The sequence below is a fragment of the Homo sapiens genome, chromosome 15 (genome assembly GCF_000001405.40).
Source record: "Homo sapiens chromosome 15, GRCh38.p14 Primary Assembly".
NCBI lineage: Eukaryota > Metazoa > Chordata > Mammalia > Primates > Hominidae > Homo > Homo sapiens.
The window spans coordinates 21,499,112-21,516,551 of record NC_000015.10 but is presented as its reverse complement, the minus strand read 5'-3'; the positions used below and the strand labels follow the sequence as shown (position 1 = coordinate 21,516,551).

Below are 17,440 nucleotides of genomic sequence, written 5' to 3'. Positions count from 1 at the left end.
ATCGCTGCTGTTGCCCTCAATGCACTGGCCCACCCTACAAAGCTCCTACTACCTGGCCACCGCCGCAGCCCTGCCCCTGCCATGGCCGCAGCTGGCCGTCCTCCTACCGCTCTGGTGCGAGGTAGTCTCGGTAGCTGCCACCAACCGCAGCAAGGCGAGCAGCAGCCCCAGGCTATCTGCAAGCTTCCAGCATGTAACTCCTCCTCCTGGCATGGAACAGCTGGACACACAAAGCCAAAAAAGCCTAGAGGAGAATGCAGAGACTGATAGCGTTAGAGCCTCACCTTGTCATCCTGGCCACTGGGTGGCAGGGGCCAGTCTCAGTGAAGGCACTCATATCCACCCTCCAAAGTCCAGCCTCTCCTTTTGGCTCAAGCGGGCCAGGAACTGGGACCTGGAGTGGTGACTGGTAACATCACACTGCCTGGCTCCAATCCACAGGAACCGCTGGGCCCACCAGGACTGCGCTCCTTGGGGAACAAAATCAGCAGGAACTCAGACACAGCCAGCCCTCCCACCCAAATGCCGGTTCCCCATCCTGATGCCTCCACCCACAGAGCCCTGTCTCCCCGTGGTGTCCCCGCCACTCCGTGTCCAGCGTGCCTAGGGGTGCCAGGTGGTCTCCGCAACACAGAGCGAAAAGGGCGTGGCCCCGGGAACCACGGCGGGTAAGGGGTCCTTGCCGTGCTCAGGATTACTGCGGAAACGCCGTGCGCTCGCTGCGCTCTAGCAGGAGCAGGAGGAGATCGCCTTTTAGAGTCTGAAATCCAGAAAGAGGAAGAAGGCTCCTTCCTTGGAGACCCTGTTGCTGCAAGCTCTGCCGCCACCAGCAAGGCAGCCCCTGATGGCGCCCCTAATCCGCTGCCTGATGTTGGCTCTGGGATAGCGCCCCCAACACCGCCCCTCGCCGCTGCAATGTAAAACCCAATAGCGCCCCCAACCCATCCCTGCCTCGGACGTCGCAGCACCAGATAACTCCCCCATCCTACCGTCTGCCGTCGGCCATGCAGCCACGGATAGGACCTCCAACTAACCCCCGGCTGCGGGCAGTGATGCCCCGGAGAGCACGGCCACCTGCTCCATGCCGTCAATAGTGCAGCCATGGATCCTTAAGGTCCCCAACCCCCTCCCCACGACGAGCAGTGCAGCCCTACATAGCAGATAGCACCCCCAACTATCCCCCACTCAGGGGGAATGATGCCCTGGATAGTGCACCCCACCCGCACCCCGCCATGGGCAGTGCAGCCTCCGACAGCACCCCTAACCTGTATACCGCTGCCAAAAATATGGTCCCCGATAGCACACCAAACCCAGCCCCCACCACAAACAGTGCAGCAGCTGATAGAGCACCTAACTCGCCCCACCGCCACTGACCACAGTGCAGCCCCCGAACGGTGCCCACAACCCACCCCACCACCCCGCCTGCCACCGGCCGGGTATCACCCCCAAACCGCCCCTTGCTGTGAGGAGTGTATCCCCTAGTAGCGCACCCAAACCTGCCCTCTATCATGGGCAGTCTGGCCCGATAGTGCCCGAAACCGCACCCTCCAAGCACCTACCCGCACCCACCGCTGCCCCGCCCCACCACCAGCAGTGTAGCACCTGATACTGCCTCTAACCTCTCCCCTGCCATGGACATTGCAGCCCCACATAGCGCCCCCAACAAGCCCCCACCATGGGCAGTGCAGCCCCAGATAGCATCCCCACACCGCTGTCAGCAATGAAGCCCGACCAGTAAGCACCCCCACCAGTCCGCACCCTAACCAGCCCTCCCACCACCATGCCGCCGGCAGTGCAACCACAATAGCAGCCCCAACCCGGCCCCTGTCGCGGGCAGTGCAGCACCCAATAGCGCCCCCAACCAGCCCTACTGCTGCCATCAATACAGCCCAAGATAGTGACCCCAACCCGCCCCCCACCAACCCCCCCCCCACCCGCTGCTGAGGGCAGTGCAGCCCCGGATAGCACACCTAAAAGCAGTGACGCCCAAAATAACACTCTAGTACACCCAAAGTAGTGACACCCGGAATAATACCCCAACCAGCCCCCGCCGCGGGCAGCCCTGGATAGCTTACCTACCCCATTGCCTTTCTACACTCTGGCCAGCTGCAGTATCCGTCGCTGCCACCAACCACAGCGAGGCCAGCCAGGGAGGCGAGCCAGCGAGGCCAGCCGCAGTCCTGCAGGCTCTAGCCTACAGCCTATGGTAGGTGCCTTCTCCTTCTTTCCTTCCTGTAGCCAAGCACGGAGCAGCTGTCACTGCCAGCTGCCTCTCTCCATTGCCACCACACACCATTCAAGGCTCCAGGGCTCCAGGTTCCAGGCTCCAGCCTGCGGCAGCACACTCTGCTGCCGCTTTCTCCAAACTCTGCGGGAGAAGTAGAGGCTAACACACGATAGCCTGCAACAGCGCGACGCCCCCTTAGCATAGCTTATATACTGGGGGTTGTGCAGGCCTGGTTCTCGGACTTCACGTTCTGATTGGATGAAAGAAACATCTACGCCTACTCTGATTGGACGTTATTTTCATGTTCTGATTGGATCAGAACAAGTCTTAGGCTAACCAATCAGAACGTGACAATAAAGTCCAATCAGAGTAGGCCTAGTGTTTTCCTCTCATCCACTCAGAACATGTAGTTTATAATCTCGGTATATAAAGCATGTTAAGAGATAGAGTTGCACTAGTCCAGCCTCGTCGGCGTCTGACTTCATAGCTGCTCCATTGCCAGCTTGGAGTAGGAGGTGCCAGCCACTGCATGCTGGAGGCTGCAGCCTACCGGGCTGTGGCTGGCCTCCCTGGCTCACCACCTCGCCGGCTTGCCTCGCCTTGCCTCGCTGGCTTGCCTTGCCCGCTGCGGTTGGTGGCAGCGATGGACACTGCAACCGGCCAGAGTGTAGAAAAGCATCGGGGTAAGTGGCTATCCAGGGCTGCACTGCCCTTGGCCTGGGACGGGTTTGGGGCCCTATCTCAGGCGTCACTGCCCACCTTGGGTGGCTGGTTAGGTGTGCTATCTGGGGCTGTGCTGCCTGCACCGGGGGGTGGTTTGGGGGCCCTAACCGGGGCTGCACTGCCCTCGGCGGGGAGCCTGTTGGGGAAACTATCCCAGACTGTATTGCTGGCAACAGTGAGGTGGGCTAAGTGTCCTATCCAGGGCTGCACTGCACGGCTGTTGCGGGGGGTTGGTGGTTTCAGGTTGAGGGTGCTATGGGGTGCTGCAATGCCCGTGGTTCGGGGAGGCGGGGCGGTTTGGGTGTGTTGGGTGCGCTATTGCGGGGGGGCTACACTGCTGGTGGCAGGGGGCAGGGTGGGTTGGGGGCCATATCAGGGGCTGCACTGATTGCTTTAGCTAGGGTTTCCAGTACTATGTTAAATAACAGTGGTGACAGTGGGCATCCTTATCATGTTCCAGATCTTAGAGGAAAAGCTTTCCATTTTTCCCCATTCCATATGATTCTAGCTGTGGGGGTCTCTCATGTGGTTTTTATTGTGTTGCAGTATGTTTCTTCTGTACCCGTTTTTTGAGGATTTGTAGCATGTTCCCCAAATTGAATATACCATTTTTTAAAAAGAGACTGAGTCTTGCTGTTATGTTGCCCAGGCTGGTCTCAAACTTCTGGACTTACGCGATCCTCTTCTGCCTCAGCCTTCAGATAGCTGCAGCTATAAGCATGCACCACCGCACCCAGCTTGAAGGTACTGTATTTTTAATTCCATATTGTCAAGCGTTTAAGTTACTTTTCTTTAAAAAATTAATATTAATTCAAAGGAAGAAATTGGCAGAGTGAAAAGACAACCTACAGAATGGGAGAAAATATTTGCAAAGTATGTATCCAGCAGAGGATTAATATCCAGAATATACAAGGAACTCTTGACATCTCAATAGCAAAAAAAAAAAAAAAAAAGAACCCAACTGAAAAATGGGCAAATGACCTGAATAGATATTTCTTAAAAGATGACAGACACATAACCAACAAATATGTTTTCCTAAAAAGCTCAACATCACTAGTCATCAGGGAAATGCAAATCAAAACCACAATGAGGTGTCATCTCACCCCACTTAGAATGGCTACTATCAAAAAGACAAAAAATAGCAAATGCTGGCAAAGATGTGGAGAAAAGTGAACACTTAAATGTGGCTAGTGGAAATGTAAACTAGTACAGCCACTATGGAGAACAGTGTGGAGGTTCCTCAAAAAACTGCAAATAGAACTATTATATGGTCCAACAATATATTATTGGACATTTATCCAAAGAAAAGGAAATCAGTATATTGACGAGACATCGGCACCCCCGTGTTTATTGCAGCACTATTCACAATAGCCAAGATATGGAATCATCCTAAGTATCTAACAACAGATGAATGCATAAAGAAAATATGGTATACATACACAATGGAATACTATTTAGCCATAAGCAAGAATGAAATCCTATAGTTTGAGGCACATGGATTGAACTGGAGGACATCATATTAAGTGAAGTAAGCCAGGGACAGAACATTAAGTACTGTGTGTTCTCATTCATTTGTGGAAGCTAAAAAAATGTTGATCTCATAGAGGTAAAAAGTAGAACAGAATACTACAGGCTGGGAAGCATAGGGTGCAGGGATGGTAGAAAGCAATTTGTTAAAGGTTTCAAAATTACAGCTAGATAGGAAGAGCAAGTTCTAGTGTTGTATAGCACTGTAAGATGACTGTAATTAACAACAATATGTTACACAGTTTCAAAGAGGAGGAGGATGTTGAATGTTCCCAGCACAAAGAAATGATAAATGAGATTATGGATATGCTAATTACCTCGATTTGATCTCTGCAAATCTATGGGAATGTTACTATGTTATTCATAAATACTAATAAATACATCAAAAATTTTAAAATTAATAATGAACAAAAGATAAGGGGCCCTGAACTCTAGCTTTAGGGCTGAATTGTATCCAGTCAGATGGTTTATATGTTATTTAAACTTTCACTTTAAATTTGGAGTGGAAATATGTTTGGAAATCCTTACTTTTAGTATGTTGATTTGTGTGTGTGCGTGAGGTAAATCTGGTTGGCTATTGGCAAATGTACTGGGTAGCTACTTAATAAAACATTTCCTTCCAGTGTTTCAGCTTTCTGATTCTTAGAACATGTGTATATTTAACATAATATGCATTATCACTTTTGAAAGTAGTTATTCTAACACTTATTTGTGCTAAATTAGAATATGAATTTGGGAACTATTACTCTTTTCTATGGTCTGGAATAATTTAAGTAATAGAAATTATCTGATTAGATAGAAATTCATTGTAAAATCATCAAGTTTAGAAGCTCTTAAGATTTCCTTTGACTTTTGCTTATTAGTTTTAAAGAAAAAAATAAATTGACATAATGGAAATTTTCACTATACATCAGGAAGGGAATTCAGTGGAAAAGTAAGCTTCCTACTCCCTCTTGACCTTCAGTTTATACTTTTCTTCCTAAGTCAAGTACTGCTACTGGTTTCTTATGCTGTTTCTAGAACTAGCCTATCTATTGTCTATTTAAAATAACTCTTTAATCACCTTTTATTTGAGCTGCCTTATGGATCTATGTAGTTTTTCTGTCTCTCTTTAAAATTTTTTATGCGGTAGAATACACATAACATAAAATTTACCATCTTAGCCATTTTTAAGTACACAGTTTAGTAGCACTATCTTTCACATTGTTGTGCAACCAATCTCCAAAACCTTTTCATTGTGCAAAACAAATTCTGTGTCTATTCAACTGCTCTCCATTCTTTCCTACCTGCAACTCCTGCAACCATCCTTCTACTTTCTGTCTCTCTGAATTTCACTATGTCACATAAGTGGAATCATACAGTATTTGTCTTTTTGACATGGGCTTATTTTACTTAGCATAATGTCCTCCAGTTCCATTCATGTTGCCTTGAAAGGCAGGATTTCATTCTTTATGGCTGAAATAGTATTCATCTTGTTGTAGCATGTCAGGATTTCCTTCCTCTTGAAAGCTGAATGATATCGTATGTATATACCAACATTTTATTGATCTAAATGTATCTACCAATGGATTTTTCGGTTGTTTCCACCTTTTGACTATTATAAATAATGCTACTGTGAACATGGGTGTACAAATAACTTCAAGGCCCTGCTTTCATTCTTCCGAATATACATCCAGAAGCGGAATTGCTGGATCATATGGTTATTCTATTTTTAATTTTTTGAAGAATTTCTATTATTTTTAAAGTCACTTTTCATGGTTTGTTCTTTCCTACAAAACATGTTTTTCAATTTTATCAGTGCAGAGTTGTATATAATATTTATATATTTTACTTGTACAATTAAAGGCTGTATTTTATTTCTATATTATCATATAATTACCTTCAGTATCTATGTTTGTAACTGTTTCCTCATTTCTTTTTTTCCTCGTTCACGTTTACTATTTTATTGGTCTTTAAAACCTAGGCTTTCTTTTTTTTTTTTTTTTTTTTTTTTTTTTTTGAGACAGAGTCTTACTCTGTCGCCCAGGCTGGAGTGCAGTGGCGCAATCTCCGCTCACTGCAAGTTCCGCCTCCCAGGTTCACACCATTCTCCTGACTCAGCCTCTCCTGAGTAACTGGGACTACAGGTGCCCGCCACCACGGCCGGCTAATTGTTTTTTTTATGTTTTTAGTAGAGACGGGGTTTCACCATGTTAGCCCAGGATGGTCTCGATCTCCCAACCTCATGATCCGCCCACCTCGGCCTCCCAAAGTGCTAGGATTACAGGCATGAGCCACCATGCCCGGCCTACTTCTTTTTTTGTCATTTCTAATTGACTGGTAAGTACATTATATCATTACTGCAGCAGATTTATGTTACAGTGTTTTACCTGTTTATGTTAGAATCAGTTTATGTTTCTGGAATCTGGAATAGGATAATACCTATTTGATTTGAAATTGGACAGAGAGTAGCTTTATGTTGGTCCAGATAATCTCATTTCTCATTTGGACAAGATATTTGAGGGTTTGAAAAATTCCTGTGATGATTAAAGGAGAAAACTCTTGTGAGTTATTGTATGCTGAGACACACACACACACACACACACACACACACACACACACAGTTTATTGCATTGTTGGGTTTTATACATAAAATTACCCAAGTTGCAAATATATGTCTTACAACTTTGACTCTCAGGATAGTGCAGCAGGATGAAGTGCAACCGCCCCCGCCCCCCCTTCCCCGATTTGCCAACAAGGGCAGACCAAACTAGAAGTGTGGCGCTGTACATGTTTCTGTGGAACCCTGACAGTGAAGCTGTTCTGGTTGCCATGTCCTGTTTCCGCCACCTCTGTGAGGAAGCAGATACCTGGTGTGGGGTGGATGAAGTGTCAGTGCATCACCTCTTGCCCAACTGTAGCACATTCATGGAGTTTGCCTCTGTCAGCAATGTGATGTCAACAGGTAAATGTGAATAGTGGTTTTTTTACTCAACCTGCCTGAAGCACGTGACATCTAATTGTGAGAATGTATTTAAGGTTACTACTTTGTAAGTTTACAGGGGAAATTCAAGTAGCTTACTTGAAATCCTTTTCTGAACAAAGAAATGAAACAAAGATGAAAAGAAAAAGCATTTGAAATAGTCTCCCACTGAGTTTTTAATATGCTATACGTTTTAAAAATAACTGGCAGTATATGTTATTATCAGTTGTGATCATATAATTTACTCCACCTAAGTTGTAGATAGTGAAGTTTTATGCACATTGGCATATGTTTTGAGTAAATTATAGGTGGGAATAGCTATTTTGTGCTGTGGACATTGTAGAGTCTAAGATAAGTACCTTTCCTGTGAGGTTAGTGAAAGGAAGTTTTTGGCTTTATCATTTGAGGCATTTGCTCTGCTCCTCCTACTCTGCCTTTTGGGTAGGGCTTATGAGGTTCTCCATTGGCAGGCAGGGCTCTAAGTGCAGTGACTTGATTGGCTGTTGTATTTGCTTAGGAACAGCAGCACTTCAGAAAGAGTGATGGCACTGCGGAGGCGCACTTAGCATCCCACTGCAGGAAACACTGAGGTGTGCTCTTAGCAAGAGAAACACCCCTCCTAGGCGCCCACCCTCAATTTTGGAAACCTATTGTCACATATGTGTAATCAGGAATAGCTTTTGAAGTAAATCCAAGATATGTGCGTGTTAGAAGTGTAATATCTGAGTACTTATTATACATCAAGTTTGAAACTTGGCCATTGCTGATTGACGTTTAGCTCTAGACTTAAAGTTGCTTTCAAGTGATAATTGCCTTCATTTTAGGCTTGGGAAGATACACATGCAAAATGGGAACAAGCAACAAAACTAATCTTTAACTATCCAAAAGCCAAAATGGATGACAGCCAGGTAAGTCTGTAAAGTTGACTTTTGTCTATTAACTGATCTGCTAAATATATGTCCTTCTCTTTGGTAATCTCTCACGAGTCACTCAGTAAAGTAAGCATATAGTTGTCTGAAGACTGATATTTAGTTGTGGTTTATCTAGACCTGTACTTCGTAATATGGTAGCCACTAGCTACGTGTGACTATTTAAATTTTAACATAATGAAAATTAAATACAATTTAGTTCCTCAATCATATAGTAGCCACATTGCAAGTACCCAGTAGCCACATATGACAGTCTGGACAGCAGAGAGAGAAAATGTTTCCATCATCACAGAAATACTGGGCAGCACTGCTAGAGACTGTTGCAGAGACCTTTTCTTGCTCTTTATCCCTTCATCAGGGTGTTTCACAGAATTTTCAGAAGAGGAGCAACAGAGGTAGAGAAAAAAAACACGGAAACAATTCATTTTGCTATTTTGTTAAGTATTCTAATTAAGGAATGTCTTGGGCAAAAGATTGAACCCATAGATTAAATGAAATTTTAAAATGTGGACAGTTCATTCAACTATTACTATTGACTATATTATCTGTTACTCTGGAAATTGATGAGTTGGTGTTTGTGTGTAATTGATTTGTAATGTTCATATTCCTCTCATTATTAGGCGATTTATAAAAACTGGTTATTCCCCCATGTTTTTTTTCTGTCATACTTAATTACAATAAGAAAAATGTTATGTTTTTATGAAGCAAAATTGTGTACCTAATAGCTTTATTTGGAGGGGACATGTAGCTTTAGAATGAAAGCTTTTGGGGGGATAACTGTTTAATATACCATACAATTCACCCATTTAAAGTGTCCAATTCAGTGGCTGTTTTTAGTATATTCCCAGAGTCGTGCAACCATTACCACAGTCCGTTTTAGAACAATTTCATCAATTGAGGAAAAAAAACCCCTGTATCCTTTAGCTATTTCTGCCTCTAACACCCTACCCCACCTCCCCGCCACTTTCTTGTCTCTCTTCCCCCGGCTTCTCCAGCCCTAGGCAACCTTGAATCTACTTTCTGTCTCTGCAGATTTGTCTCTGCTGGATCTTTTCTGTAAATGGAATTTTAGAATATGTGGGCTTTTGTGATTAGCTTCTTTCACTTAGCATAACGTTTCCAAGGTTCATCCATGTGAAATCAAAGCTTTTTAAAAGAAATTTGATACTTGGGCGATTATATTAGTGTATGACAAAAATAAATCAGTGGCTCTTTAAAAATGTATATGGTAATTTTTGGGGTTGATTTTAATGTGTTTTTTACATTTTTTGTACTTTTGTCATGGAAGAAATGTTGGATAAAGAGTAATTTGTCAAGTCTCAACTAATTTAGGTTTAATTCATGCTTTGCCCAAAAATTTTGTGTTTAGGCTGCTGAAAGTTTCACATGACCATTGTTAGGAGTCGAATATCCCATCTGAGTGGAGGAGGACGCGCAGATTTGTCTGACACAGACTCCCTACAGGAATGGATCAACATGACTGGCTTCCTTTGTGCCCTTGGGGGAGTGTGCCTCCAGCAGAGAAGTAATTCTGGCCTGGCAACCTATAGCCCACCCATGGGTCCAGTCAGTGAATGTCAGGGTTCCATGATTTCAGTGATGTCCTCAGAGGGAAACGCAGGTACACCTGTCAGCAAATGTATGGATCAGCTGTTGTCCTTAATGGTGTGTAACCATGAGAAAGTGGGACTTCAAATACGGGCCAATGTTAAGGACCTGGTGGGTCTAGAATTGAGTCCTGCTCTTTATCTGATGCTATTTAACAAACTGAAGAATGCCATCAGCAAGTTTTTTGACTCCCAAGGACAGGTAAAGTGTGCTCTTTTTTATTTTTCACCTTGTTTGAAATAAGGAAGGCTTTTTCTTTCCAATTATTTAAATTAGGTGCTCACAGTTTTTAAAAATTGCCAAAAAATTGCAGAAAGAAGAGTCATCTCAATGTAGGGGTCAGCTTGCTTCTTAGGAACTCTGGTGTGTATGTGTGCCTGAGGGTATACCTGCCTTGTGTATGGGTATGAGTGTCTGCATGTATCTGTATGCTTGTTTGGCTGTGTGCCTGTGGGTGCACTTCTGTGTTTGTGTGTTTAGATCAGTCGGTTGCATCTCTCTAGAGGTCTGTCTTCTGGGCATTGATGGCAAATGATTAATACATTTGTTCTTTCTATAGTTTTTATTGATGGATACCAACACTCAATTTGTAGAGCAAACCATAGCTATAATGAAGAACTTGCTAGATAATCATACTGAAGGCAGCTCTGAACATCTAGGGCAAGCTAGCATTGAACCAATGATGTTATATCTGGTCAGGTAAGCGTTCTACTGAAATGTAGCAGAAACATACTTTAAGAGATCAGAAAAACCTCTTACACATTGATATTGGTAGTAATTGATAAAATAATTTGCCATTCTTTACTGCACACAAACTAGGGTGTGACAGTCAGGTAACCAGAAGGTGTGTATGTTCTCATAAAAATAAATATTGTTTTCAGACTTACATTTAGTTCATTTTATTTGATGACTAAAGTACTTTGAATGCTTTCTCTTTTGTCTATATCTGATAATTTTTTTATTGTCTCTGTGTCTGTATAGGTATGTTCGTGTGCTTGGGAATATGGTCCATGCAATTCAAATAAAACGAAACTGTGTCAGTTGGTTGAAGTAACGATGGCAAGGAGAGATGACCTCTTATTTTGCCAAGAGATGAAATTTAGGTGAGTTCTCAAAAGAGCAATGTAGGGTCTTGTAAATCTTAATTTGTTGAATGAAGTACAGAAATAGAGTAGATATCTGGTTATTGGTAGGAAGGAAGACATAAAAAGAGAGCAATTTACATGTTTGTGTTTCTCTACGTCTCTCCTCAAATTTCCGTAAGCTTTGTGCCTGTGGCAAGCCTCCCTTTTTCTAAAACTGTGCTGTACTTGAGCTAAGAATTTGATTCTGTTTCCAATTTGATACCATAAATAAGGGCCATGTTGGAGGTTAAATATCCACGTTGCTTGTTCCCTTCTGGCTTTTACGTCTGTGACATCAGTATCTCTTTTATAAAGTCGTCATGTCACCTGAGTTATCTGCCAAATTATTTGCACTGTAAGAAATCTTACACAATTAAAGGTGTGTGTGTGTGTGGCTTCAAAAAAATTGTTTGCTGTTTCTCTTTTCTCCGCCATTCTTTAGGAATAAGATTGTAGAATACCTGACAGTCTGGGTTATGGGAACATCAAACCAAGCAGCAGATGATGATGTAAAATGTATTACAAGGTAAAAAAGAGAATGACCTTCAAGTATTAGTGGGTTTTCCTGTAAGAATTATAATTACTTCCTTACAGCTTTATACTTGTATTTTATGTGTATTTAAATTTTTTAGATGTCAAACTTTTGTGGTTGAAATATGTAAAGATACTAATCTTTATTACTACTTTTTTTTGACTGATAGACTTTCTGTAAAAATAAATGTGCGAGAGCGGTATGTTTGGGAAGTTAGTGTTGTCAGTTTATGAAGAATAGTCTACCGTTATTGGGAAATAAGGTACATAAAGCCTCAGATTGCATTTATGTTATGATTAGATAGAAAAAGGTATTATTTGAGGAACTCATTGTGTTGGTCTTTCTAAAAAATAATTGATTTCCTGATTCAGGCACCAGAGACAGAAAAAAAAGGAAGTAATTAAGTGTAATTAAGTCTGCTTTAATGATAAATGCTTATTGACACATATCAGAAAGTGATTAAACACTATGGACTGTATAATAAGCCTTTACATATGTTTCTTTGACCAAGCCTAGCTTTATAATATGGTCGTCTCTCAGTATCTGTCAGGAATTGGTTCCAGGAACCACCCCCCAAACTCCTGCCCACATCTCACTTCCATGAACACTAAAATCCACAGACTGAAGTCCCTGATACAAAATGTCATAGTATTTGCATATAAACTATGCACATCCTCCCATATATTTTAAATTATCATTAGATTACTTATAATATCTAATAAATATAAATCTTATATAAACACAAGTTGTTATACCATATTGTTTAGGGAATAACGACAAAGAAAAATCTTTACATGTTGAGTACAGATGAAACCCTACTTTTTTTTCCCCCAAATAGTTTCAATCCATGGTTGGTTGAATCCGTGGATACAGAACTCGCTGAGACAGAGGGCCAATTGTACATGCTTCTGATTGAAGATAGTCATTTTGCCAAGATTACTTTGTAGAAAGTTACTATTGTCTTCTCCTCATTTGAGATGATTTTGTATTCTAGGATCTGCATATTAATTCAAATTATTTGGGTTGTGCTAATAATTTGTTTAATGAAACAGGTAGTTCCTAAAGTTTATATCTGTTAATAAGAGGTTTATTTGAGAGGAAGTGAAATAACCTGAAAGATTTATGGTCTCTAATTTTTTTTTTTCAGAGATTTGGACCAGGCAAGCATGGAAGCAGTAGTTTCACTTCTAGCTGGTCTCCCTGTGCAGCCTGAGGAAGGAGATGGTGTGGAATTGATGGAAGCCAAAGGGGACACAGTTATTTCTTAAGTAAATTTCAGTCACCAAAAAACACAAAGCAAAAGCAAATAAAGCCCCCCGCCGCCACACACACACACACACACACACACACACACTCAAAGACAAAACAAAACAAAAACAAAAAAACAAAAAAGAAAACAAAGAAATGTTCCCCATGCAGGACTAGGATTAGGAAAATAACTGTGTTTTATGATTTTTAAAGAAAATAATATGATCCCTGAAATTTTGCTTGTAATAAAACCCAGATTGCTTCACTAAGTCATTTACAAAAGTGACATTGTGTAAGCTGTTTGGACCACTAATTTTATATACTAAACATTAAAAATGACACATTTACCAGGAAACATTGCATCTATTTGATGCTTATGTTATGAAAGGTATGCTAGGCTATATCAGGTATAATCATGCCCAACACAGCATGCTTCATAATGAGTCACCCTGGCTGATTATCCTGAGAGAGGAGAGAAGCAGTTAATCCAGGGCCAGTCACACCGTGCACATGTGATAGTTTTGGAATGTCTGGTTAGCTTTCTAGTTGATACGGCCTTTGCTATGTAAAGGTCAGTCTTTTTATTTCTCAGATACTTCACACTATTTATGAACCTTTTGAGTGACTGCAGTGAAGCTGAAGATGAAAGTGCACAAACAGGTGGCAGGAAACGTGGCATGTCTCGGAGGTTGGCATCACGGAGGCACTGTGCAGTCCTTGCAATGTCAAACTTACTCAGTGCCAGCATAGACGGTGGTCTCATGCACTCCATAGGTGAGATCAAATGAAAGTTTCATATAGAAATACACAGCCTAGAGAACTGGCTTGTAAGATAAGCAAAAATTACTTCAGTAAGGCCATGTTAGTAAATTTGCATCCATTTGTCCACATCAGGTTTAGGGTACTACAAGGATCTCCAGACAGCTACATTTATGGAAGTTCTGATGAAAATCCCTCAACAAGGCACAGAATTTGACACACTTCAGAAACGGTATTGGCTGATGGGTTTGAGCAATTGGTGGAACTGGTCACAGTGATGGGTGATCAAGGAGAGCTCCCTATAGTGATGGCTCTGAACAGTGTGGTTCCTTGTTCTCAGTGGGTAAGTGCATAGAGTAAGTGGGGAAGAAAAGTGCCTGGCACATAGCAAATCCTTCAGAACATATTTGTTCAATAAATGTTTGTTGAATGAATTGATAAAATTTTAGAGCCAGAAGAAATCTTAGATGTTTAGTTAGGTGACTTTTCAGCTGTAGGGAAGTGGTTGGCACTGCTAGACCTGAATAGTGTCCTATATCATTTCATCCCACTGAAAAATTCCATTTAAACACTGATTAAAAATCACTGATCTACTCCGCTGTCTTCATATATTTGAGAAGGTAATTAAGTTAAACCTAATTTCAGTCAGTTGTCGCAACGCTGGAATTGGAATCCACGATTTGTGCCTGTTTACTACCTCCAGTTTGCTGTTCTTTTCCCCATAATATCTTACACAATTTTTAAAAATGTAAGCACTGTATTTGCATTTGATATTATGATATTGTTTGTTTTAAACACTGAAAACATCATATGGCTATTAGGTCTCTCTCTTAATTTAATGAAAAATTTTCCTCAAATCACATCATTCCTAATACATGTGAAAACGTTGAGAAGGGTGGTGGTTCCTTTCCAGTGTTAAAAGGCTATTTCCTTTTTAGTGTACCAAAAATGGTTTCACTTATAGTAAAGTATAACTAATAAGGTAATCTGTCATTGTAGATTTGTTTCTGCTTAAAGCTGTAGGATATTTGTTACACCTGTACTTAAAGTAAAATTCAAACTCCTTATCCTGTCCTACAAGGCTCCACCTGATTTGGGCCCTGCCTCATCTCTAACATCATCTTATGCCATTTTCCTTCTTGTTCACCAAAGCCACACCAGCTACCTTTCTGTCCCTCCTTGTTAGACTTGTTTCTGCCTTAAGCACCCTTGCTGCTGCTACCACCTGAAATGCTTCTCCTCTGGTATTTTATTTTGGTGAGAACGCCTAGCATGAGATCTACCCTCTAACATATTTTTAAGTGTAGAATACAGTATTGCTATCTGTAGGCAGAATGCTGCACCACAGATCTCTAGAACTTACCTTGTATAACTGAAATTTTATACTGATTGATTAGCAACAGCCCCAAATCATTGAAATCTTCCTAAAGCCTAAAATTACTTCACAAACGTTCAAATGTTTTGAAAATGACTATTGTGAATTATCTTATTAGGATCTACCTATGATTAGCACTGAAAATACTCAGTAATTTTTTAAATAAAGAATCAGTTAAATTCAAGTAGCTTTAATTTGTTGTTGAGTTTTATATTAAATGACTTTGAGAAGGAATTTTCTATTAGGCCAGATCTCACCTATCACATTATTGTAATCCTGGGACCAGGCAAGAATTAGAGAGCTATGGGCCATGATCCTGGCCGTTGTTGTTACTGCTTGAGGATTGAGGCATCTTTTTATGGCTACCCCTATTCTCTATAAATTTCTTCTTGTGATTAAACAGTGATTTACCAGTAGATCATTTTTCTTGAGTGTACCCCAAACTGCTTTACTACAGGGAGTTACAAGGATGTCATTTAGGTAATTGGAATTTCAGCCCTCATCCCTGTCCCCCTTGCTTTGTATGTAAATCTGGCTGATCTCTGGGTTCTGAACGCCCAGTTCCTTTTCTTCCTGATTTCTCAAAAATCCTATAGTCTTTCTGTTTTTGTCATGTCTCTACCTAGTCTATGTTCAGCATTCACTGAGTTCCCCTGACTGTATGAGAAGAGAGTAGAACTCTTCTGATCATCAGTCTTATTTCTGCTCTGTGCAAATGCTTGTACAAATCAAACTAAAGTATTTGCTGTCATCTTCTGTTTCTGTTCTCTTTCATTTTGTGATGTAATTTGAACTGAATCTTGGAGATTTTGTCTCCTGGTAAAGCCTAGGCCTCTCTTAATAGCTTTCACCGGTTAATCCTTGGAATTAACAGCTATCGTAGACATCGTATATAGTCATCTATCATAAACAATATACGCAGATAAATCTCAGGAGAAATATTAATCAGTCACCTTTGCCTTAATTTAGCAAGTAGTTGTCAACTTTGGGTTTATGTTTTTGCCACTCTTCAGCTATCTACCTGAGAACAAAAATGCACTAACCTGATTTTGTTTTGTTCTCAGGATGAACTGGCTTGAGTTCTGGTTACTCTATTTGGTTCTTGGCATTTACTCTACCAACTGCTCTGGAACATGTTTTGTAAAGAAGTAGAATTGGCAGACTGACTCCATTCAGACTCTCCTCTGAGGCAACAGTTTGGCCAGTAAAATAATGACACTCTGTTTCAAGGTTTGTATCATTCATTTTGTGTGTGTGTGTGCTGAGGTATGTCAAGTAATGATTATGTACAGAATGTGCAGAGCTGATTGTCTTCTTTTAAGGTAAAATGTATGGAGCAGGCATAATGAAGTCCTACTCATGCATTTCTATAGGTATATGGTGCTACCTATCTATAAAAACTCCTGGATGCTTTATTACGAATTGAGATCACATCCTCTGATGGGCAACATGTTAGCTTTGAAGTGGATCCTACCAGTTTTATCATCTTTTCACATAAAAGTGCTCTTTTTTTTTTTTTGCTAACACTGCATGAAGCAAGGCCCTCATAACTTCTCCTCTTGATCATTAAAATTTGTTTTTAATTATAAAAGTTATATACAAATATGCTTTTCTTTAATGATATCTGTAATTTTTTTTAAGTTATCCTTCTTTTTATCTGCCTTAGATCCAGGGACAGACAGGAGAAGGATGTCTTTGACTTCTACCTCCACAGACCGTTACTAGTTAAGGCTCTTTCCTTTTTCCATGACTTTACATATCACTTTACACAGTCAGTTGCATGCTCTGTCACCCAGACTGGAGTGCAGTGGCACGATGGCTCACCGCAACCTCCACCTCCTGGGTTCAAGCGATTCTCGTGCCTCAGCCTCCCAAGTAGCTGAGATTACAGGCGTGCACCACCACGTCCAGCTAATTTTTCTATTTTTAGTAGAGATGGAGTTTCACCATGTTTGCCAGGCTGGTCTGGAACTCCTAACCTCAATTGATCCACCAGCCTCAGTCTCCCAGAATGCTGGGATTACAGGCGTGAGCCACCATGCCCAACCAGAGAATTGTCTGTTTTGAGATTAAAATTTGGGAGTTTTAAGAGAACCACTCAGTAGCAGTGATGGTCTATGAATATTCTAAAATTATGTGAAGAAATTTGTGTGAAAGCATACATCCATTTTTCTAACCTTTATCAGATTTCAAAGAGGTTCCTCATCCCCAGAAGGTTGAACACTATACTGGAATAGTCAAAGCACTCAAATTTTTTCTTAATTCTTTATCTTTTTATAGTTTTAGCTAAAACTTCTATATCTAATTCTAAATTTATATATTTCAGCTAAAAATAAATGGTATTTAGGTTTTAAAGCCATTCTAATAAAGCAGCTATATTTAGCCACCTTCACCAGTTTCCCCTTATTGAAGGGTTAAGGTTGTTC

General features: G+C 41.5%; 1 non-coding gene and 1 pseudogene across 1 annotated transcript; one reads left to right on the top strand and one right to left on the bottom strand.

Moving 5' to 3' along the window:
• Positions 1-2,511: 2,511 nt before the first annotated feature.
• Positions 2,512-2,593, bottom strand: MIR5701-2 (microRNA 5701-2). The gene has a single exon (NR_049895.1). It is a non-coding gene; the product is annotated as a microRNA 5701-2 (primary transcript).
• Positions 2,594-6,757: 4,164 nt separating this feature from the next.
• NF1P9 (neurofibromin 1 pseudogene 9) lies at positions 6,758-16,552 on the top strand (annotated as a pseudogene).
• Positions 16,553-17,440: the final 888 nt, after the last annotated feature.